This window comes from Homo sapiens, chromosome 8 (genome assembly GCF_000001405.40).
Source record: "Homo sapiens chromosome 8, GRCh38.p14 Primary Assembly".
NCBI classification, from domain to species: Eukaryota; Metazoa; Chordata; class Mammalia; order Primates; family Hominidae; genus Homo; species Homo sapiens.
Genome location: NC_000008.11, coordinates 97,871,560 through 97,890,099, shown reverse-complemented (window position 1 = coordinate 97,890,099; position 18,540 = coordinate 97,871,560). Strand labels below are relative to the sequence as shown.

Here is an 18,540-nt window from a genome sequence, read left to right as displayed (position 1 = left end):
GCCCACTTCCAGTCTTGGGGTGGGAAAGATAGGTTGTGCCCCATCCTCCTCTTTGTCTCTGACACATTCTCTTGAAAAATGAGAAGAAGGAATCAATGCTGGATGCAGGGTTGGTGCCTTTAGCAAAATGGGCTTCTAGGCAAAGGAGGACGACAGTGAATGCTGACAACCAGGGAAGGTGGGGGTGATGTGGTCTGTGTGTGTGTATCAGAGGGAGGAAGGGAGGGAGAGAGAGACTTGGAGCCTAGAGAAGCAGTGTGCTTTTCCAGGCAAGTGTGTGGTGGCTTTTCCTGAGACCAGCCCCATCAGAAACCCAACTGGGCAGTTACTGCTGGTGATCCAGAAATCAGGTATCTTGGCCATGCGTAGTGGCTCATGTCTGTAATCCCAGCACTTTGGGAGGTCGAGATGGCAGATCACTCGAGGCCAAGAGTTTGAGACCAGCCTGGCCAACATGGCAAAACCCCATCTCTACTAAAAATACAAAAATTAGCTGAGCGTGGTGTTGTGCCCCTGTAAACCCAGCTACTCAAGAGGCTGTGGTGGGAGATGTGCTTGAACCCAGGAGGCGGAGGTTGCAATGAGCCAAGATTGTGTGCATCATCAGTTTTATATATATATATATATATATATATATATAGACAGAGAGAGAGAGAGAGAGATGTTGTTTATCATCTTGGAATTTCTTTTTTAAAACGTTTCAATTAACATACTAAACACTTCCCACTCCTTTTCACATTTGCAAAAGTGTTGTTTACATCACTATGGAAACAAGGACTTTCAGGAACCTGGAAGACCTATCACTGGGGTCCTCACTTAGTTAACATCAATAAAGATTCTGACCTCTGAAAACAGGGCTCTTTAGGTCCCTGTGGTCCCTGATTGTAATTTCGGATGCCACTGAGGCTACCAGGTCACTGGGCAGTTCTCTTAGTAGCCTTTGCAGGGGGTCAGATTCGAGTGGCTGGCCAACAAGGTATAAATGTCAAATACAGTTTCAAAGAACTTAATAGAATGACAGTTGTGGTAAAGCTTTTACTTACTGAGTACCTAGAATGTATGTATATTACCTCATTTATTTCTCAGAAATGTTCCAAGGTTGGCATTCACACTTCCATTTTACAGATGATAAAACTGAGCCTCAGGGAAGTTATATCACCTACGTTATATCACATCTATAGCCTCAGGGAGGTTATATCACATCTGGAAAGTAGCAGAGGCAGGACTTGAACCCAGGTCAATGCCAAAACTCATTCTCTTGGCACTGCCCAACCTTCCTATAACCTCCACATGCCAGGCTTACCAATGCCCTTGTTTAGAATCAGCTGATTTACATGTTTTCCGTGTGTTTTCATGACATTTCCTTTTTCTAGGAAAAATGTTCACTGGATCAGATGAATAGACCCCTGGCATTTTCCATTCCTAATACCTCGATTCAGTTCACAATGTCCCCACCTCTCTTCTGGCCCAGCTCTTACTTCCCTGCTGCCATGCAGGGAAGCATTATTAACAGATCTAGCTGGGCAAACCCAATAAAAAATTTTCATAACACCTTTGCTCAGATAGGTCCAACAACAAGGACATTTTCAGATGAGAAATCTTGCCCTGAATATTGGAGAAAAGCCATAAGCCTCAGATTCAATTAAAGGCTTCAAAGAAAAGTTTATTTTGAAAACTCGTGTGCAACCACGTGCTCAACTCCGGATGCATTCACCACCAGTGAGGACCCCAGGCCCAGCACATCCAACAAGGACCCAGGGAAAGGAAAGCTTCTCAAACAGTCACCAATCCCTGTCCCTGAGCCCTCCCCAAACCACCCCCACCTGCCCACTTTTGGGGGTGAGCACCACCACTCACCCAGAAGGGCCGTCTGCGGGTGGGTCCGAGCGTGTCTGCCCCTAGAGATGGACCTCCCACGTGACCGCTCCCTGGCCTCGGCAGGGAGGAGGACGATCTGTCCGAGGATCAGCAGAAAGCAGCCTGCGAGCATCTTTTCCATTTTCAAGGCGAGCAAGAGGGGCAAGGCTGTGACAAACACAACACAAGAAGAGGGCAGGGTGAGATTTCCGGGTCTCCCTGAACTCCAGGAGCTGCAGGCCCGCTGCCCCGCCTTTTCAGAGTTCAAACAGACCACTTGCACTCAAAATGCCGTTTGTGTGTTTGGCCTTTGAGAGCTTAAGTAGCCCCCGTTGGTAGGCTCTTCTTGGACGCTCCGAGCAGGGCATGCATAGTTGGAATTTTTCATCACTTTAATCACTGTAAGACTGAATGGAAAACTTGAGAAAAATCTATCCTGAAGTTTCTTATCAGTTAAGTTCATTATCAATTACTCATAGTCACATTTTACATTTTGGATTTGAATAAAAAAAAGCTATTACATATCTGAGAGTTCCAAGTAACAATATTTGTTCAGTCTAATAATAGTAGATGGCATCAATTAGTTTATATAAATTATACATATAAAATTCATGTGTAGTTGACATAAAGTAGCATCACATATCCAGCCTCCCAGCCTCCCTGTCTCCCACATACATTTATTACAAGAGTGTTGGCACAGTGGTTATGGGCTTGGACTCTGGTACTAGACTGAGGCCATGTGCCAGGCCCTATTCTAAATTCTTTACCTATATTAACTTGCTCCATTACCTAATATTATTCCCACATTCCCATAAGGCTCAGGAAGGGTCAGTGGCCTGCCCAAGGTCACACACAGTTAGCAAGTGTCAGAGCCAGAATTCAAACCCAGGGTCAAGTCTAGGTGCCATGGCTCATGTCTGCAATCCTAGTGCTTTAGGAGGCCTAGATAGAAGGATTGCTTGATGCCAGAAGTTTGAAACCAGCCTGGTCCACACAGCAAGGCCTCGTTTCTACAAAAAAAAAATTTAAATTTATTTAAAAAGTTAAAAAAGTCCAGGTGTGGTGACTCACACCTGTAATCCCACCACTTTGGGAGGCCAAGGTGGGCACATCACTTGAGGCCAAGAGTTTGAGACCAGCCTGGCCAACACAGCGAAACCCAATCTCTACTAAAAATACAAAAATTAGCCAGGTGTGGTGGCTCGTGCCTGCAGTCCTAGCTACTTAGGAGGCCGAGGCACAAGAATCACTTGAACCCAGGACTGCAGTGAGCAGAGACTGCACCACTACACTCCAGCCTGGGTGACAGCACGAGACCCTATCTCAAAAAAAAAAAAAGGTAAAACAAATTCAAACCCAGGACTAGCAGGTCAATTTTCCAATGCATTGATTAGTAGAAAACTGAAAGGAAAATCCCCAGAAATCAAGTCATGAAATGCCATAGTTCTTTCTTTGTCAGAGGCAGGGACAGGGCAGGGGTGGGGCAGGGACCATGTTTCAAAACTTAAAAAAAAACCTCACTATTTCAGCGAACTGTTTGTTCAGCAAATTGCTTCCAGAAATTGACCTGGGAATGGACCTGGGCCTGTCAACCTTCAGAGTCCAGTTTTTCACACTTGCTGTATTGAACTAGCTCACTCTTTTTAATATAATTTTACTATGCATTAAGATTATATTAAAAATAGTGAATGTTTATTCAGCATCTCCTATGTGCCAGGCACTGGGCCAAGTGCCTTCAACGTATTAAGTGATTTAATTTATAGAGTATCTCAGAGAAGTAACTTGCCCAAGGTTACATCGCTCATAAGAGGTGAAGTTCCAGAACCCACTAGCTCAGTGGTCCCCAATCTTTTTGGCATCAGGGACCAATATTGTGGAAGACAATTTTTCCACAGACCCAGCTGTGGGGGTGGTTTTGGGATGATTCAAGTGCATTACATTTATTGTGCACTTTATTTCTATTATTATTACATTGCAATATATAATGAAATAATTATACAGCTCAACATAATGTAGGAATCAGTGGGAGCCCTGAGCTTGTTTTCCTGCAACTAGATGTTCTCATCTGGGAGTGACGGGAGACAGTGACAGGTCATCAGGCATTAGATTCTCATAAGGAGTGTGCAGTTCATGATAGGGTTCATGTTCCTATGAGAATCTAATGCCTTAATTTGTGCAGCAGCAATTTAAAAAAAAGAATCTAATGGATCTAACGGTGCTGGTGATCTGACAGGAGGCAGAGCTCAGGTGGTAACACAGGCGATGGGGAGCGGCTGTAAATACAGATGAAGCTGAGCTCGCCCACTGCTCACCTCCTGCTGTGCGGCCTGGTTCCTAACAGACCATGGACTAATTCCGGGTGGGGGTTGGGGACCCCTGCACTAGCTCATTACAAATAACTACTCTCCTCACCCCCCTTTTTAAACCATTTAAACTCTTTTTTTGAGACAGGGTCTCACTCTCTCACCCAGGCTAGAATGCAGTGGTGTGATCATGGCTCACGGCAGCCTCAACCTCCCAGGCTCGAGGGATCCCCCAACTTCAGCCTCCCAAGTAGCTGGGACTACAGGTGTGAGCCAACACACCCAGCCTATTTAAACTCTTTACTAATTAGATTGATCCCTTTTCATAGCTTTAACTCTGAGATTCCTTCTGAACAAAGGAAGAAAACTTAGAACATCTTGCCCCTTTCTCAAATCCTAAACTTACTATTTACTTTCAAGCTGCCTTGCTATTTATCATCTCAGGGTTTTTGTTAGTGGTGGGAGGACAGGGTCTCACTCTGTCATCTAGGCTGGAGTGCAGTGGCACAATAACTCACTGGCTCTTTGAACTCCTGAACTCCAGTGATCCTCCCACCCAAGCCTCCCGAGTAGCTGGGACTACAGGTGTGCACCATCATGCCCTCACCTTATTTTATAAAACACTATTCAGTGTGTTACATCATTTATATGTGATTTATGATTTTATTGCTATTCCCCTTTCTCCAAACCGAGCAGATAAAAAGTCTAGGCTTATTTGTTTCAAAATGTATACAACATGCTCTCAAGGCCCACTTCCACTCCGAGGCATATGCACTCAACACTTGGAATATGATGTGGTGTGTGATCATTTCCAAAAAACAAACATCATTGCATGTGGTTTGGGTTTACTGTGGATTTCAAGAAATGTTTGTATTTTCAAGTCACCATTGCTAACCAAAAGGCACTGAGGATAGGTGAAGAGTGAGGAGTTAAAAATAAACAAAGCAAAATAATGCTAGCTGTCCAACCCTGAGCAGGTTACTTACCCTCTCTTGACCTCAGTTTCCTCATCTTTAAAACGGAGATAACAGTAGACCTAATTGTTATATAGAATCAATCGGTTCATATGTAGATATATTTAAAGCACTTCAAACACTGCCTGGCACATAGAAAGTGCTGAATTTAAGTGTTAGCTATTCCGTGTTGTTGTTGTTGTTGTTGTTGTTATTTGGAGACAGAGTCTCGCTGTCGCCCAGGCAGGAGTGCAGTGGCACGATCTTGGCTCACTGCAACCTCTGCCTCCTGGGTTCAAGCAATTCTCATGCCTCAGCCGCCCCAGTAGCTGGGACTACCGGTGCGCCACACCATGCCCAGCTAATTTTTTGTATTTTAGTAGAGGCGGGGTTTCATCATGTTGCCCAGGCTGGTCTTGAACTCCTCACTCACCTCAGCTTCCCAAAGTGCTAGGATTACAGGCATGAGCCACCACACTCGGCCTGTTGTTGCTGTTATTATTTTTGGTATTATTCTGTAATCAAACCAATCAATAGTATACACTGTTGACTGGGTGCAGTGGCTCACACCTGTAATCCCAGCACTTTGGAGGCTAAGGTGGGTGTATCACCTGAGGTCAGGAGTTCAAGGCCAGCCTCATCAACATGGAGAAATCCCGTCTCTACTAAAAATACAAAATTAGCTGGGCATGGTGGTGCAAGCCTGTAATCCCAGCTACTTGGAAGGCTGAGGCAGGAGAATTTATTAAACCCGGAAGGTGAAGGCTGCAATGAGCCAAGATTGCACCATTGCACTCCAACCTGGGCAACAAGAGCAAAAGCAAAACTCCATCTCAGAAAAAAAAAAAAAGAAAAAAAAGAAAGTATACACTGCTAATTTTGTCATATTAAGCCACTTAATGTATATTAGACAGATTTTATGCTTACTTATGTATATTATCCTAATAATGACATACAAACCCATAATTGTTAAATACACATTAGTATCTAAAAATATTTAAAACTTTCTTTTTATCAAAATGTAATGGCAAAAGGCTGGGGTGCAGTGGCTCATGCCCATAATCCCAGCACTTTGGGAGGCGAAGGCAGGGCAACATGGCAAAACCCTGTCTCTATAAAAAATACAAAAATTAGGCCAGGCACAGTGGCTCACGCCTGTAATCCCAGCACTTTGGGAAGCTGAGGTGGGCAGATCACGAGGTCAGGAGATCGAGACCATCCTGGTTAACACGGTGAAACCCCGTCTCTACTAAAAATACAAAAAATTAGCCGGGTGTGGTGGCGGGCACCTGTAGTCCCCCAGCTACTCAGGAGGCTGAGGCAGGAGAATGGTGTAAACCCAGGAGGCAGAGCTTGCAGTGAGCCGAGATCATGCCACTGCACTCCAGTCTGGGGACAGAGTGAGACTCTGTCTCAAAAAAAAAAAAAAAAATTAGCTGGGAAGGTTGGCACACACCTGCAGTCCCAGCTACTTGGGAGGCTGAGACTGGAGGATTGCTTGAGCCCGAGAGGTCGAGGTGGCAGTGAGCCATAATCACACCACTGTACTCCAGCCTGGGTAACAGAATGAGACTCTGTCTCAAAACAAACAAACAAAGTGCAATGGCATGACAAGTTACAGACTAGTAGAAAATATTTGTAAAATATGTATCTGATCGATTATTTCTATCCAGACTATATACACTTTTTTTTTTTTTTTTTTGAGACAGAGTCTCACTCTGTCACCCGGGCTGGAGTGCAATCGCGCAATCTTGGCTCACTGCAACCTCCGCCTCCTGGGTTCAAGCGATTCTCCTGTCTCAGCCTCCTGAGTAGCTGGGACTACAGGCTAATTTTTGTATTTTTAGTAGAGATGAGGTTTCACTATGTCGGCCAGGCCAGTCTCGAACTCCTGACGTCGGGCAATCTGCCTGCCTTGGCCTCTCAGGGTGCTAGGTTTACAAGCATGAGCCACAGCACCTGGCCGGGACTATGTAAACTCTTATCACTCAATTAGAAGAGGATAAACCCACTTCAGAATGTGCAAAAGATTTGAATAGTCACATCACCAAAGAAGATACACGGATGAAAAATAAACATATGAAAACACGTTCAACATCTTTAGTCATTAGAAAAATACAAATTAAAAGCACAATAAGACGCCACAACAAATCTGCTGGAATAGATAAAATTGAAAAGAGTATATTGAAAAGAGTATAATAGTGACCTAGGAATATGAAAAAATTTAAAAACAATTTTTAAAAGACTGACGTAACCAAGTGTTGGTGAAGATGTGAAGAAACTGGAACCTTGGCTCGGCACGGTGGTGCATACTCGGAATCCCAGAACTTTGGTAGGTCAAGGTAAGCAGGTCATGCTGCCCAGGAGACCAGCCTGGGCAACATGGCGAAATCCCATCGCTACAAAACATACAAAAATTAGCCAGACATGGTGGCACAAAGGAAGAAAACTTAGAACAGCTACTCGAGGGAGGGGCTGAGGTGGGAGAATCGCTTGAGCCCAGGAGGTCAAAGCTGCAGTGAGCCATGATCACTGCCACTGCACCCCAGCCTGGGTGACAGAGCAAGACCCGGCCTCAAAAAAAAGAAAAAAAGAAAGAAAATCTTACAGTGACTTGAAAACTAACATGAAATCTTCTAAAGTTCCTTTAAGTAGAAATATTTTTAATATAAAATATTTTTAAAGAAAGTAAATTAAAAATAATACATTAAAAAAAGGAATTATGATGTTAACTGTGGGCTTGTGAAAAAGACAAATAATAAGGGTCAGGCATGGTGGCTCATGCCTGTAATCCCAGCACTTTGGGAAGCTGAGGCGGGCAGATCACCTGAGGTCAGAAGTTTGAGACCAGCCTGGCCAACATTGTGAAACCCCGTCTCTACTAAAAATACAAAAAAATTAGCCAGGCATGGTGGCGCACACCTGTAATCCCAGCTACTTGGGAGGGTGAGGCAGGAGAATTGCTTGAACCCGGGAGGCAGAGGTTGCAGTGAGCCAAGATCACACCATTGCACTCCAGCCTGGGCAACAACAGAGTGAGACTCTGTCTCAAAAAAAAAAAAAAAAAAAAAAAGATAAGTAATAAAGGAATGGGAAAAGGATACCATATAGATGCCAACATAAAATCAGTGTGGCAATATCAGTACCAGACAAGATAGATTTTTTCCTAAAAACTGCAATGGCAGTGAAACAAGAAAAAAATAAGTCAGTGCATGTATCCATCTCAATGGTTGTTTCTCAGTTTGGCATTTACAGCTGTCAGCATTTGAAGATCAGGACCCATTTCTAACTGGAAAATGGAATGATATTTGAGAACAGTTCCTTTCATTTTTGGGCATCTGAGAAGAATTTCTGTGCTGAGAAATAGAGAGGTTAATTCAGTCCGAACAGATTCCATGAAGCATTTGGGAACATGGAAAGAATATTTTAAAATAATACAACGGCTTTGACTTTTGTTTTAACAGTTTTTCTCTTCTCCATGGGACAATGAGTCTTTTCATTTAACTTCACCAAGGGGGTGGGGGAAGAGAGAGAAGATTATTCTGTCTTAACTACGGGTTCTTCTAAGCATCACTGTTGCAAGTAAATCCACAGGCGAATAGAATTCCCTCCAGAGCCAGAACTGTATGGTGTGGGCCTTGAGACCAGAGGCCTGGTTCTGCACACCTGCATGACCTCACCTAGGTAACAACTCTCTGGGCTTTAACTAGTCATCCATAAAATAAGAGGCATGGCCTGGGAGCCAAGTTTCTCAATCTAAACCAGACCATTGGCAAGATCCTGCTATCCTGAAGAAGGTGGCAAGATCCCCTCTCCAGTGGTAACCCCACCTCCAGACAAAAAGAGAAAGGGGACAGGACACTAATATTTATTAAGTGTCTGGATGGGACAGCCAGTGAACTGGGCATTTTTCACAGTATCATCTCATTTGATCCCCACAATCATTCTGTGAGGTGGATGAGTTCCAAATTTGATGGATGGAACACTAAGATTTATAGGTGGAAAGACCTCTCCAAGGCCTCAGAACTTGTTAACTGGCAGAGACAATATTCTACCCTGGCACCTCTCAGGCAGTCAGTCTACTTGTTAAGAATAAGATTTTCAGGCCGGGCATGGTGGCTCATGCCTGTAATCCCAGAACTTTGGGAGACCAAGAAGGATGCATCACTTGAGGCCAGGATTTCGAGACCAGCCTGGACAACATGGTGAAATCCCATTGTAGCAGGATTTTTTAAGGAATCAGAGAGACCAATGGGGTTGAGGAGGATATTTATTATTTAGGTGTGCATCAGCCCAGTCGGATTAACATCCAAAGGACTGAGCCCTGAACAAAGAGTTAAGTTAGCTTTTAAGCATTTCGTGGGGTGTGGGGAGATCTGTGCAGGGGGAAGCATATTACAGCAAGAAACAAAGACAATAATTCAATTAATTGAGAGACATGCATTACATCATTTCTTACTTTCCAAGGAAAAACATGTTTTATGACTTGAGTTTATCTGTCTAGTAACCTTGCAGCTGCACAGCTAGAGAAACAGGGTCTTCACAATGCCTGGGAGAGGAGGAGAGATAAGGCTCACTAGCCACAGAAAAACAGGCAGTTAATTTTTAAAGGACTCCAGCTCTTTCTCTTTCTCAGGGGGAATTGAGTTTTCTTATATACAACTGAGCTTCTGCTTACACATATTCTTTAATTTCTTTTAATTCCTGTTCCACCATCTCTACTAAAAATACAAAAATTAGCCAGGCATGGTGGTGCACACCTGTAATTCCAGCTACTCGGGAGGCTGAGGCAGGAGAATCATTTGAACGCGAGAGGCAGAGGCTGCAGTGAGCTGAGATGGCGCCACTGCACTGCAGCCTGGGTGACAATGCAAGACTTGGTCTCAAAAAAAAAAAAAAAAAAGAAAGAAAGATTTTTCTAACGATAAATTCCTAGACATCAGGCTCAATAGTTTTGCCAAAGATCTCTTTGTCAGCATACCAGGTATGCACACCAACTGTTCTATGAGTTCACAGAGAATCATACAATACTGGAGCTGTGTGAATTTCAGGCTGTACCTTCCTGTCTTCCACCTAATCCTGGAATCCCTAGCAAATGGGAAGACAACCTCTGGCTAGGATTCAAGGCCATCCACAATCTTCAGGCAGCTCTAAATGTTAGACCTCAGTTCTCCGCGATGTTGACCTGATGCTGTCTGTAACTTCCACCCAGTGGTGCAGGCCTGCTTGCCAATTCAGCCTGTCCAGACACAAAGTCATCTTTTCCTCAAATCCTTTCATGGTCATGCTAACCCCATCTGCCCAGCCATCTAGGCCAGAAATTTGGGAGCCAGCTTCCACGTGTCCTCTGTATCCTCAACACATTTGTGAGTGGATAAATTCTGGTGTTCCCACCTCTGCACAGCTCCCCTGTCCAGGCCTCCTGACAGTTCCCACTGCTGCAGCGAATGTTCTACCCACACCCTTTCTCAGCCAGACTCCCAGGAGCCTCAGAACTGCCCTCCCTGCCTTGGGTCCCTCATCTACTGGCCCTTCCCTTGTGATTTTGAATCTGCCTGTGGCCTCACTGTGCAATGTTAACATTCAAGGCCCTCCTTGACTGGCCACTGCCCACCTCTCTGACCATGGTGGCCCCCACATCCACCCCAGCCTCCCCATTAGGGCTTGAAGAACTCAGACTCTTGTCATAGCGGGGCGCCTCCATCCATGCCGGTCCCTCACCCTGAAATTTCTACATTCTACATTCATCGAAATTGCATTCAGTCCTCAAGCCTCAGCTCACATGTCACTCATGCTGTAAAATATTCTCTCGGTTTTCTAATGAGAACTGACTGCTTCATAGACCCCTGACAATGGGTTTGTTGTCTGCTGCAGCATGCACCTTGTCACCTCTGTTTGCTTCTTGTGCTAGGTACCAAATTGTGTGAATAAATTTTTTTAAAATTATTAATTTGAACAAACATATTTATTGATCTTTCATTAATTAACAAAATATTAGTTGAAGCAAAATGGCCCTGGTTCTGCATCCAAAAAGTACCAAAGTCAAGTCCATGTCTTCCTCTACGTACTATGTTTGCCTGAATGTAGGCGACTGTAATAGGAGGATAACATCTTCCTTCTTCTTCTTTTTTTTTTGAGATGGAGTTTCGCTCTTGTTGCCCAGGCTAGAGTGTAGTGGCATGATCTCGGCTCACTGCAACCTCCACCTCCTAGATTCAAGTGACTCTCCTGCCTCAGCCTCCCAAGTAGCTGGGATTACAGGCACCCGCCACCATGCCCAGCTAATTTTTTGTATTTTTAGTAAAGATGGGGTTTCACCACGTTGGCTAGGCTGGTCTTGAACTCCTGACCTCAAGTGATTCCCCCGCCTTGCTCTCCCAAAGTTCTGGGATTATAGGCATGAGCGACCATGCCTGGACTTCTTCTTCTTTTTTTTTTTTTGAGACAGAGTCTTGCATTGCTGCCCAGGTTGGAGTTGCACAATAATGGCTCATTGTAGCCTTGACCTCCTGGGCTCAAGCAATCCTCCTGCCTCAGCCTCCCCAGTAACTGAGACTACACCAGTACCCCCACGTTTTTGTATTTTTTGTAGAGATGGGGTTTTGCCATGTTGTCCAGCTGGCCGTGAGCTCCTGGGCTCAATGATCCTCCAGCCTTGGCCTCCCAAGTGCTGGGATTACAGGTGTGAGGCACTGTGCCTGGCTCCTATTTTTCCTGATTGGAAGACCCCACATACAATTTCTTGGTCAGCTTGAATATTTTAAAGGATATAGATGAAATATCAAGTATCTACTTATAATAATGTATCAGTTAAGTCACAAATACATATTTAAAACATTTTAAGTTATAAAATAATGTGTTAATTTAGAAAAAACTGCTTTTTTCATTTTATAAATGTTCCATAACTTTTTTTTTCCATAAAACAATGTTTTCAAATGCCTTACCTGCCTCTCTAACATCGGTTTTGTTTTTTTTTGTTTTTGTTTTTGTTTTTTGGTTTAGTACTCAGCAGTCATCCCGAAATCCTGGGTGAGACTGCATGGAAATGGAAGCTATGCATGCTAAAAGCAACCAGGCACAGGGCATGGGGCCTTACCCCACATACACTTTGGACACTCACTGTCTCCAGACTTCTTGAACACAAGACAGAAATAAACTTCTTTCTTTAACCCACTGTCATTTCATTTTTTCTGTAACTTGCAGCTGAACTTAATCCTAACCAGTAGACTGTTTTTAAGTCTCTCCTAATGAATGCATTTGGCACCAGTGCTAAATACAATCTTCCCTTCCTGAATTTCTGCAGGTGGAATTGCATTTATGACAACTGAGATATGGGTAGGTAGTCACTCCCTTTCAAAATGAAGTAGGCAAGGAGCAGAAGCTCATGCCTGTAATCCCAGCACTTCGGGAGGCTGAGGTGGGAGAAGCACATGAGCCCAGGAATTTGAGACCAGTCTGGGCAATATAGTGAGACTTCATCTCTACAAAAAAAAAAAAAGTTTTTTTTTTGAGACTGAGTTTCACTCTCGTTGCTCAGGCTGGAATGCAATGGCGCGATCTCGACTCACTGCAACCTCCGCCTCCCGGGTTCAAGCAATTCTCCTGCCTCAGCCTCCAGAGTAGCTGGGATTACAGGCATGCACCACCATGCCCGGCTAATTTTGTATTTTTAGTAGAGACAGGGTTTCTCCATGTTGGTCAGGCAGGTCTCAAACTCCCAACCTCAGATGATCCGCCCGCCTCGGCCTCCCAAAGTGTTAGGATTATGGGCATAAGCCACTGTGCCTGGCCCCCCCAAAAAATTTTTTTTAAATTAGCTGAGCATGGTGGTACACACTTATAGTCCCAGCTACTCGGGAGGCTGAGGTGGGAGGATTGCTTGAGCACCAGGAGGTTGAGGCTGCAGTGAACTACGATCATGCCACTGTGCTTCAGCCTGGGTGACAGACAGAGACCTTATCTCAAAAAAAAAAAAAAAAAGAAGTGTGAATGGAAACAATCTCAACAGCCCTTAACAATAGTACAGAAAAACTGTGGTGTGGCCATATAATGGGATATTACGCAGCAATAAAAAAGAATTAATTACGGCATATTAATTACATGAGAAATTTACAAATATAACATTGAACAAAATAACATTCAAAAATGGAAAAAATGTATCCACAATCATAGGAATCAGGATTGTGGTTAGACTTGGCTTGTTAGTGCACAGAAAGAGCCTGAGCGGGGATTCTGGGTGCTGGCAATGTTCTATTTATTGATCAAAATGCTGGTTACACATGGGTTTATGTCATGAAAACTAATCCAGCTGCTTCCTTGATTAGTGTACTTTTTTGTATGTATACGTCAATAAGAAGTTTGTAGGCCAGGCGCAGTGGCTTAAGCCTGTAATGCTAGCACTTTGGGAGGCTGAGCCGAGCAGATTGCTTGAGCTCAGGAGTTCAAGACCAGCCTGGTCAATATTGTGAGACCCTGTCTCTACAAAAAATACATGAATTGTCCAGGCGCGGTGGCTCATGCTTGTAATCCCAGCACTTTGGGAGGCCAAGGCAGGCAGATCACCTGAGGTCGGGAGTTCAAGACCAGCCTGACCAACATGGAGAAATCCCAACTCAACTAAAAATACAAAATTAGCCGGGCATGGTGGTGCATGCCTGTAATCCCAGCTACTCGGGAGGCTGAGGCAGGAGAATTACTTGAACCTGGGAGGCGGAGGTTGCAGTGAGCCGAGATTGCGCCATTGCACTCCAGCCTGGGTGACAAGAGCGAAACTCTGTCTCAAAAAAAAAAAAAAAAAAAATACAATAATTAGCCAAGCGTGGTGGCACATGCCTGTAGTCTCAGCTACTCGGGAGGCTGAGGTGGGAGGTTGGCTAGAGCCAGGAAGTTGCAGTGAGCTAGGATCATGCCACTGCACTCCAGCCTGGGCGACAGTCAGACCATGTCTCAAAAGAAAAAAAGAGAAGTTTGCTTAAAAAGGAGGCAAATACTCGGCCAGGCGCAGTGGCTCACGCCTGTAATCCCAGCACTTTGGGAGGCTGAGGCGGGTGGATCATGAGGTCAGGAGATCGAGACCATCCTGGCTAACACGGTGAAACCCCATCTCTACTAAAAATACAAAAAATTATCTGGTCAGGGTGGCGGGCACCTGTAGTCCCAGCTACTCAGGAGGCTGAGGCAGGAGAATGGTGTGAACCTGGGAGGTGGAGCTTGCAGTGAGCCGAGATCGAGCCACTGCACTCCAGCCTGGGCGACAGAGTGAGACTCCACCTCAAAAAAAAAAAAAAAAAAAAAAACAGGCAAATACTCTACACAGATCCAGAGAGCAAAATAAAAATAAAAAATAAAGTAAGATAAAGCAGACAAAATTAACCTATGGTGATAGAAGGTAAAATAGTAGTTGCCTTAGGGGAAGACGATAATTTATTTGGGGTCCAAAGGGGGCTATGGGTGCAGATCTTGGGGGCAGTTACATGACAGTGGAGAGTGCTCACTTGTAAAACTCCATTGAGATTTCCCTCATGATTTGTGCACCTTTTTATATGTTCCTCTGATTTAAAAGAAAAAAATTAACTTAACAAATAAAGTGTGCAGTTCCAGGCTCTATTGCCCTCAGATCCTTCCACCAACAGAGGGACTGAGAGACCTGAGAGCTGCGGGAGAAATTTTGAAGAGTTTAACAGGTGTTCTCTCTTGAGTGGGCCATTGTGCACATTCTGGAAGGGGGTGGTTATTAAGAATGAGGCAGCCCAGGCGGACACTATTTGGAACTCCTTCTCAGGTCCTGTGGCAGGCAGAATAATTGCCCTCCAAAGATGTCTACATCATAATTCCCAGAAGCTGGGAATATGTGATGTTAGATGGCAAAGGGAATTAAGGTTGCTAATCAGATGACCTTAAAAAAGGGGAGATGATCCTGGATTATCTAGGTGGGCCAATGTAATCACGAGCGTCCTCAAAAGTAGAAGAGGGGCCAGGGGCGGTGGCTTGTGCCTGTAATCCCAGCATTTTGGGAGGTCGAGGCGGACAGATCACAAGGTCAAAAGTTCGAGACCAGCCTGACTAACATGGTGAAACCCCATCTCTACTAAAAATAGAAAAATTAGCCAGGCATGGTGGCTCGCGCCTGTAATCCCAGCTGCTCAGGAGGCTGAGGCAGGAGAATCGCTTGAACCCAGGAGCCAGAGGTTGCAGTAAGCTGAGATCACACCACTGCACTCCAGCCTGGGCAACAGAGCAAGACTCTGTCTCAAAAAAAAAAAAGTAGAAGAGGTCAGGGCATGGTGGCTCATGCCTGTAATCCCAGCACTTTGGGAAACCAAGGCAGGAGGATTGCTTGAGCCCAGGAGTCGAAGATCAGCCGGGCAAGATAGAGAGACCCTGTCTCTACAAAAAATTAAAATTAAAAAAAAATTTAGCCAGACATGGTGGCACAATCCTTGTAGTCCCAGCTACTTGGGAGCCTAAATAAGAGGGTCACTTAAACCCGGGAGACTGAGGTTTCAGTGAGCCGTGATCGCACCACTGCATGATAGCCCGGGCGACAGAGCAAAACCTTGTCTCAAACAAAAAAAAAAAAAGAAGAAGAAGAAGAAGAGGAAGGCAGAAGAGAGATCTGAGGTGTGGCAGTGAGAGAAGGATGCAGCCTGACATTGCTGGCTTTGAAGATGGAAGCAAACCGAGCAATGCGTGCAGCCTCTGGAAGTTGGAAAAGGCAGGGGAACAAATTCTCCCTGCTGACACCTGGATTTTTAGCCCCATGAGAACCATTTCAGAATTGTGGCCTCCAGAACTGTAAGATAATAAATCTGTGTTTTAAGTCACTAAGTTTGTGCTAACTTGTTACAGCAGCAATAGGAAACTAGTACAGACACCGTCTGGGAATCTCAGGGAGGTCAAACGTCACTAGAGTGATTTGCTTCACAGAGATCTTGCTCTGGACATGAGGGCATTTTTTCTATTTCACTAGAAATGGAAGAGGAGAAGCAGCTAGAAAAGTCAACAAATGCTGTTGATGGGGCAACAGTGACTGTTCTAAGGGCCAAAGTTGAGGGTTACTGGCCAGGCGTGGTGCCTCACGCCTATAATCTCAGTACTTTGAGAGGCTGAGGCAAGAGGATCACTTGAACTCAGGAGTTCGAGACCAGCCTGGACAACATGGCGAGACCCTGTCTCTGTAAAAAAAAAGTTTTTACAAAAATCTAAAAAAGAAACAAATTTGAGGGTTACTCAAGGGGAGGGAGAAAGCCCAAAAAGGACAGGAAGGAGCCATTTCTGAACTGAGTTTCAAGAAGCATTTGATCCATAGCCTTGACCCCTCTGGTCTTGAGCTTTTGGTCTTTAAGACATGTGAAAACAGCCAAGCATGGTGGCTCACACCTGTAAACTCAGCACTTTGGGAGGCTGAGTCAGGTGGATCATGAGGTCAAGAGTTTGAGACCAGCCTGGCCAACATGGTGAAACCCTGTCTCTACTAAACATACAAAAATTAGCAGGGCATGGTGTTGCAACTTGGGAGGCTGAGGTAGGAGGATCACCTGAACCTGGGAGGCAGAGGTTGCAGTGAGCAGAGATTGTGCCACTGCACTCTAGCCTGGGCAACACAGAGAAACTGTCTGGGAAAAAAAAAAAAAAGAAAAAAAGAGATGTGAAAACAAACTCACCTAACTGGGAGGGTACAGGGAGAAGCCCTAAACAGAAGTGAGCTAAAACTCTTTGATTTAGATCATTTTCTCTAATACTCTAATATTTCTTTCTTTTTTCTAAATAGTTTTTCTTACCATCATGCCCAATCTAATACTCTAATATTTCTGGCAGATAGAATAATATGTCAAAGATGTCTATGGCCTAATCCCCAGACTGTGTTGCCTTACATGGCAAAAGGGACTTTGGGCCGGGTGCGGTTGGCTCACGCATGTGATCCCAGGACTTTGGGAGGACAAAGTGGGCAGATCACCTAAGGTTAGGAGTTCGAAACCAGCGTGGCCAACACGGTGAAACCCCATCTCTACTAAAAATATAAAAAATTAGCCAGGTGTGGTAGCTCATGGCTGTAATCCCATCTATTTGGGAGGCTGAAGCAGGAGAACACTTGAACCTGGGAGGCGGAGGCTGCAGTGAGCCAAGATCACGCCACTGCACTCTAGCGTGGGCGATAGAACGAGACTCTGTCTTGAAAAAAAAAAACGGGGGGACTTTGGAGATGTGATTAACTTAGGAATTATGAGATGCAGTGATTAGCCCAGATTTTCTAGGTATGGTTTTGTAAGAGGGAGACACGAGAGTCAGGATGGGGAGAAGGGTTGGAAGATGCTGTTACTGGCTTTGAGGATGGAAGAAGGAACCAAGAGCCAAGAAATGCAGTCAGGTTTTAGAAGTCAGAAAATGAAAGACATTTTCCCAAGAGCCTACAAAAGGAACCACAGAGCCCTGCTGACACCTTGATTTTAGCTCTACAAAACCCATTTAAGAGTTCTGAACTTCAGAACTGCAAGATAACATCTTAGGGTTGTTTTAAGCCACTATGTTTGTGAAATTTGTTATAGCAGCAATAGGCAACTAATACAACAACATAAAATAACTACAGGGTATCCCCATGGGCAGTGAGCCCCACTTTCCATAAGTAGATAAAGGTTCCTCTGACAGTACTTTTAGAATAACTTTCCAAAAATGTTAGCTGATCCACCTGCTCAGCCGCTGATTTTTACATGCAGGTATTTTGTGAAATTTTCCATTTCAATTGACTCACTTTGAGTACTTTACACCCTTCACACACTGTTGGATAAATTCACATTAATTATTTCATTTAACCCTTACAACAACCCTATGACATAGTATCACGCCCATTTGACAGATGATATAAACCAAGGCTCAGACAATAATAGTAAGTATAGCTAACAAATATTGAGCATTTATTCTGAGCTAGGCACTGAACACCTGTTAACTAATTTAATTCTCCCAAAAAATCCAGTCTTCATTTACAGATGAAGAAACAGATGTCAGGCACAGAGAGTCTAAGTAACTTTCCAAAATCTTTGCAGGTATGAGGGGCTAGAACTGCAACCCAGGTCTTTCGGGTGCCAAGAGCAGTGTGCTTTGGGTTGTACCCCAACTCCATCTCATCCATGTCAAAGCCACTGTCATAGTCATTAACACCAATTACTGGCAACAGCCCAGCCCTGCCATTCCATCTGAGCCCCCTTCAGGCAGTATTGGCTGTCTGCCGAGCCACATGGCAGGGTTCAAGGATGGCCTCATGGGCTGAAGCTCCAAGTGGCAAGTGGCCCCTTGGAAGGACCTCCCTGGCACCATTCACTAGCAACAGCAATGACATTCCCCATTCTCCCCTTGGCATATGCTCAGCCTCCCTCTTTCCCTGGCCCTCCTGAGTTATCTTGCCATATGCTTTAAACAGGGGAGTCCTCCAT

At 44.6% G+C, this 18,540-nt stretch overlaps 1 protein-coding gene across 4 annotated transcripts in view; it reads right to left on the bottom strand.

The window, feature by feature from the left end:
• Window positions 1-18,540, bottom strand: part of MATN2 (matrilin 2) — a 167,661-nt gene that overhangs the window by 146,625 nt on the left and 2,496 nt on the right. For all 4 annotated transcript variants that reach the window (NM_002380.5, NM_030583.4, XM_005250920.3 and 1 more), the window contains exon 2: window positions 1,858-2,025. In NM_002380.5, the coding sequence (NP_002371.3) occupies window positions 1,858-1,999 (142 nt within the window). In that variant the 5' untranslated portion in view covers window positions 2,000-2,025. The remainder of the gene's footprint in view (window positions 1-1,857; window positions 2,026-18,540) is intronic.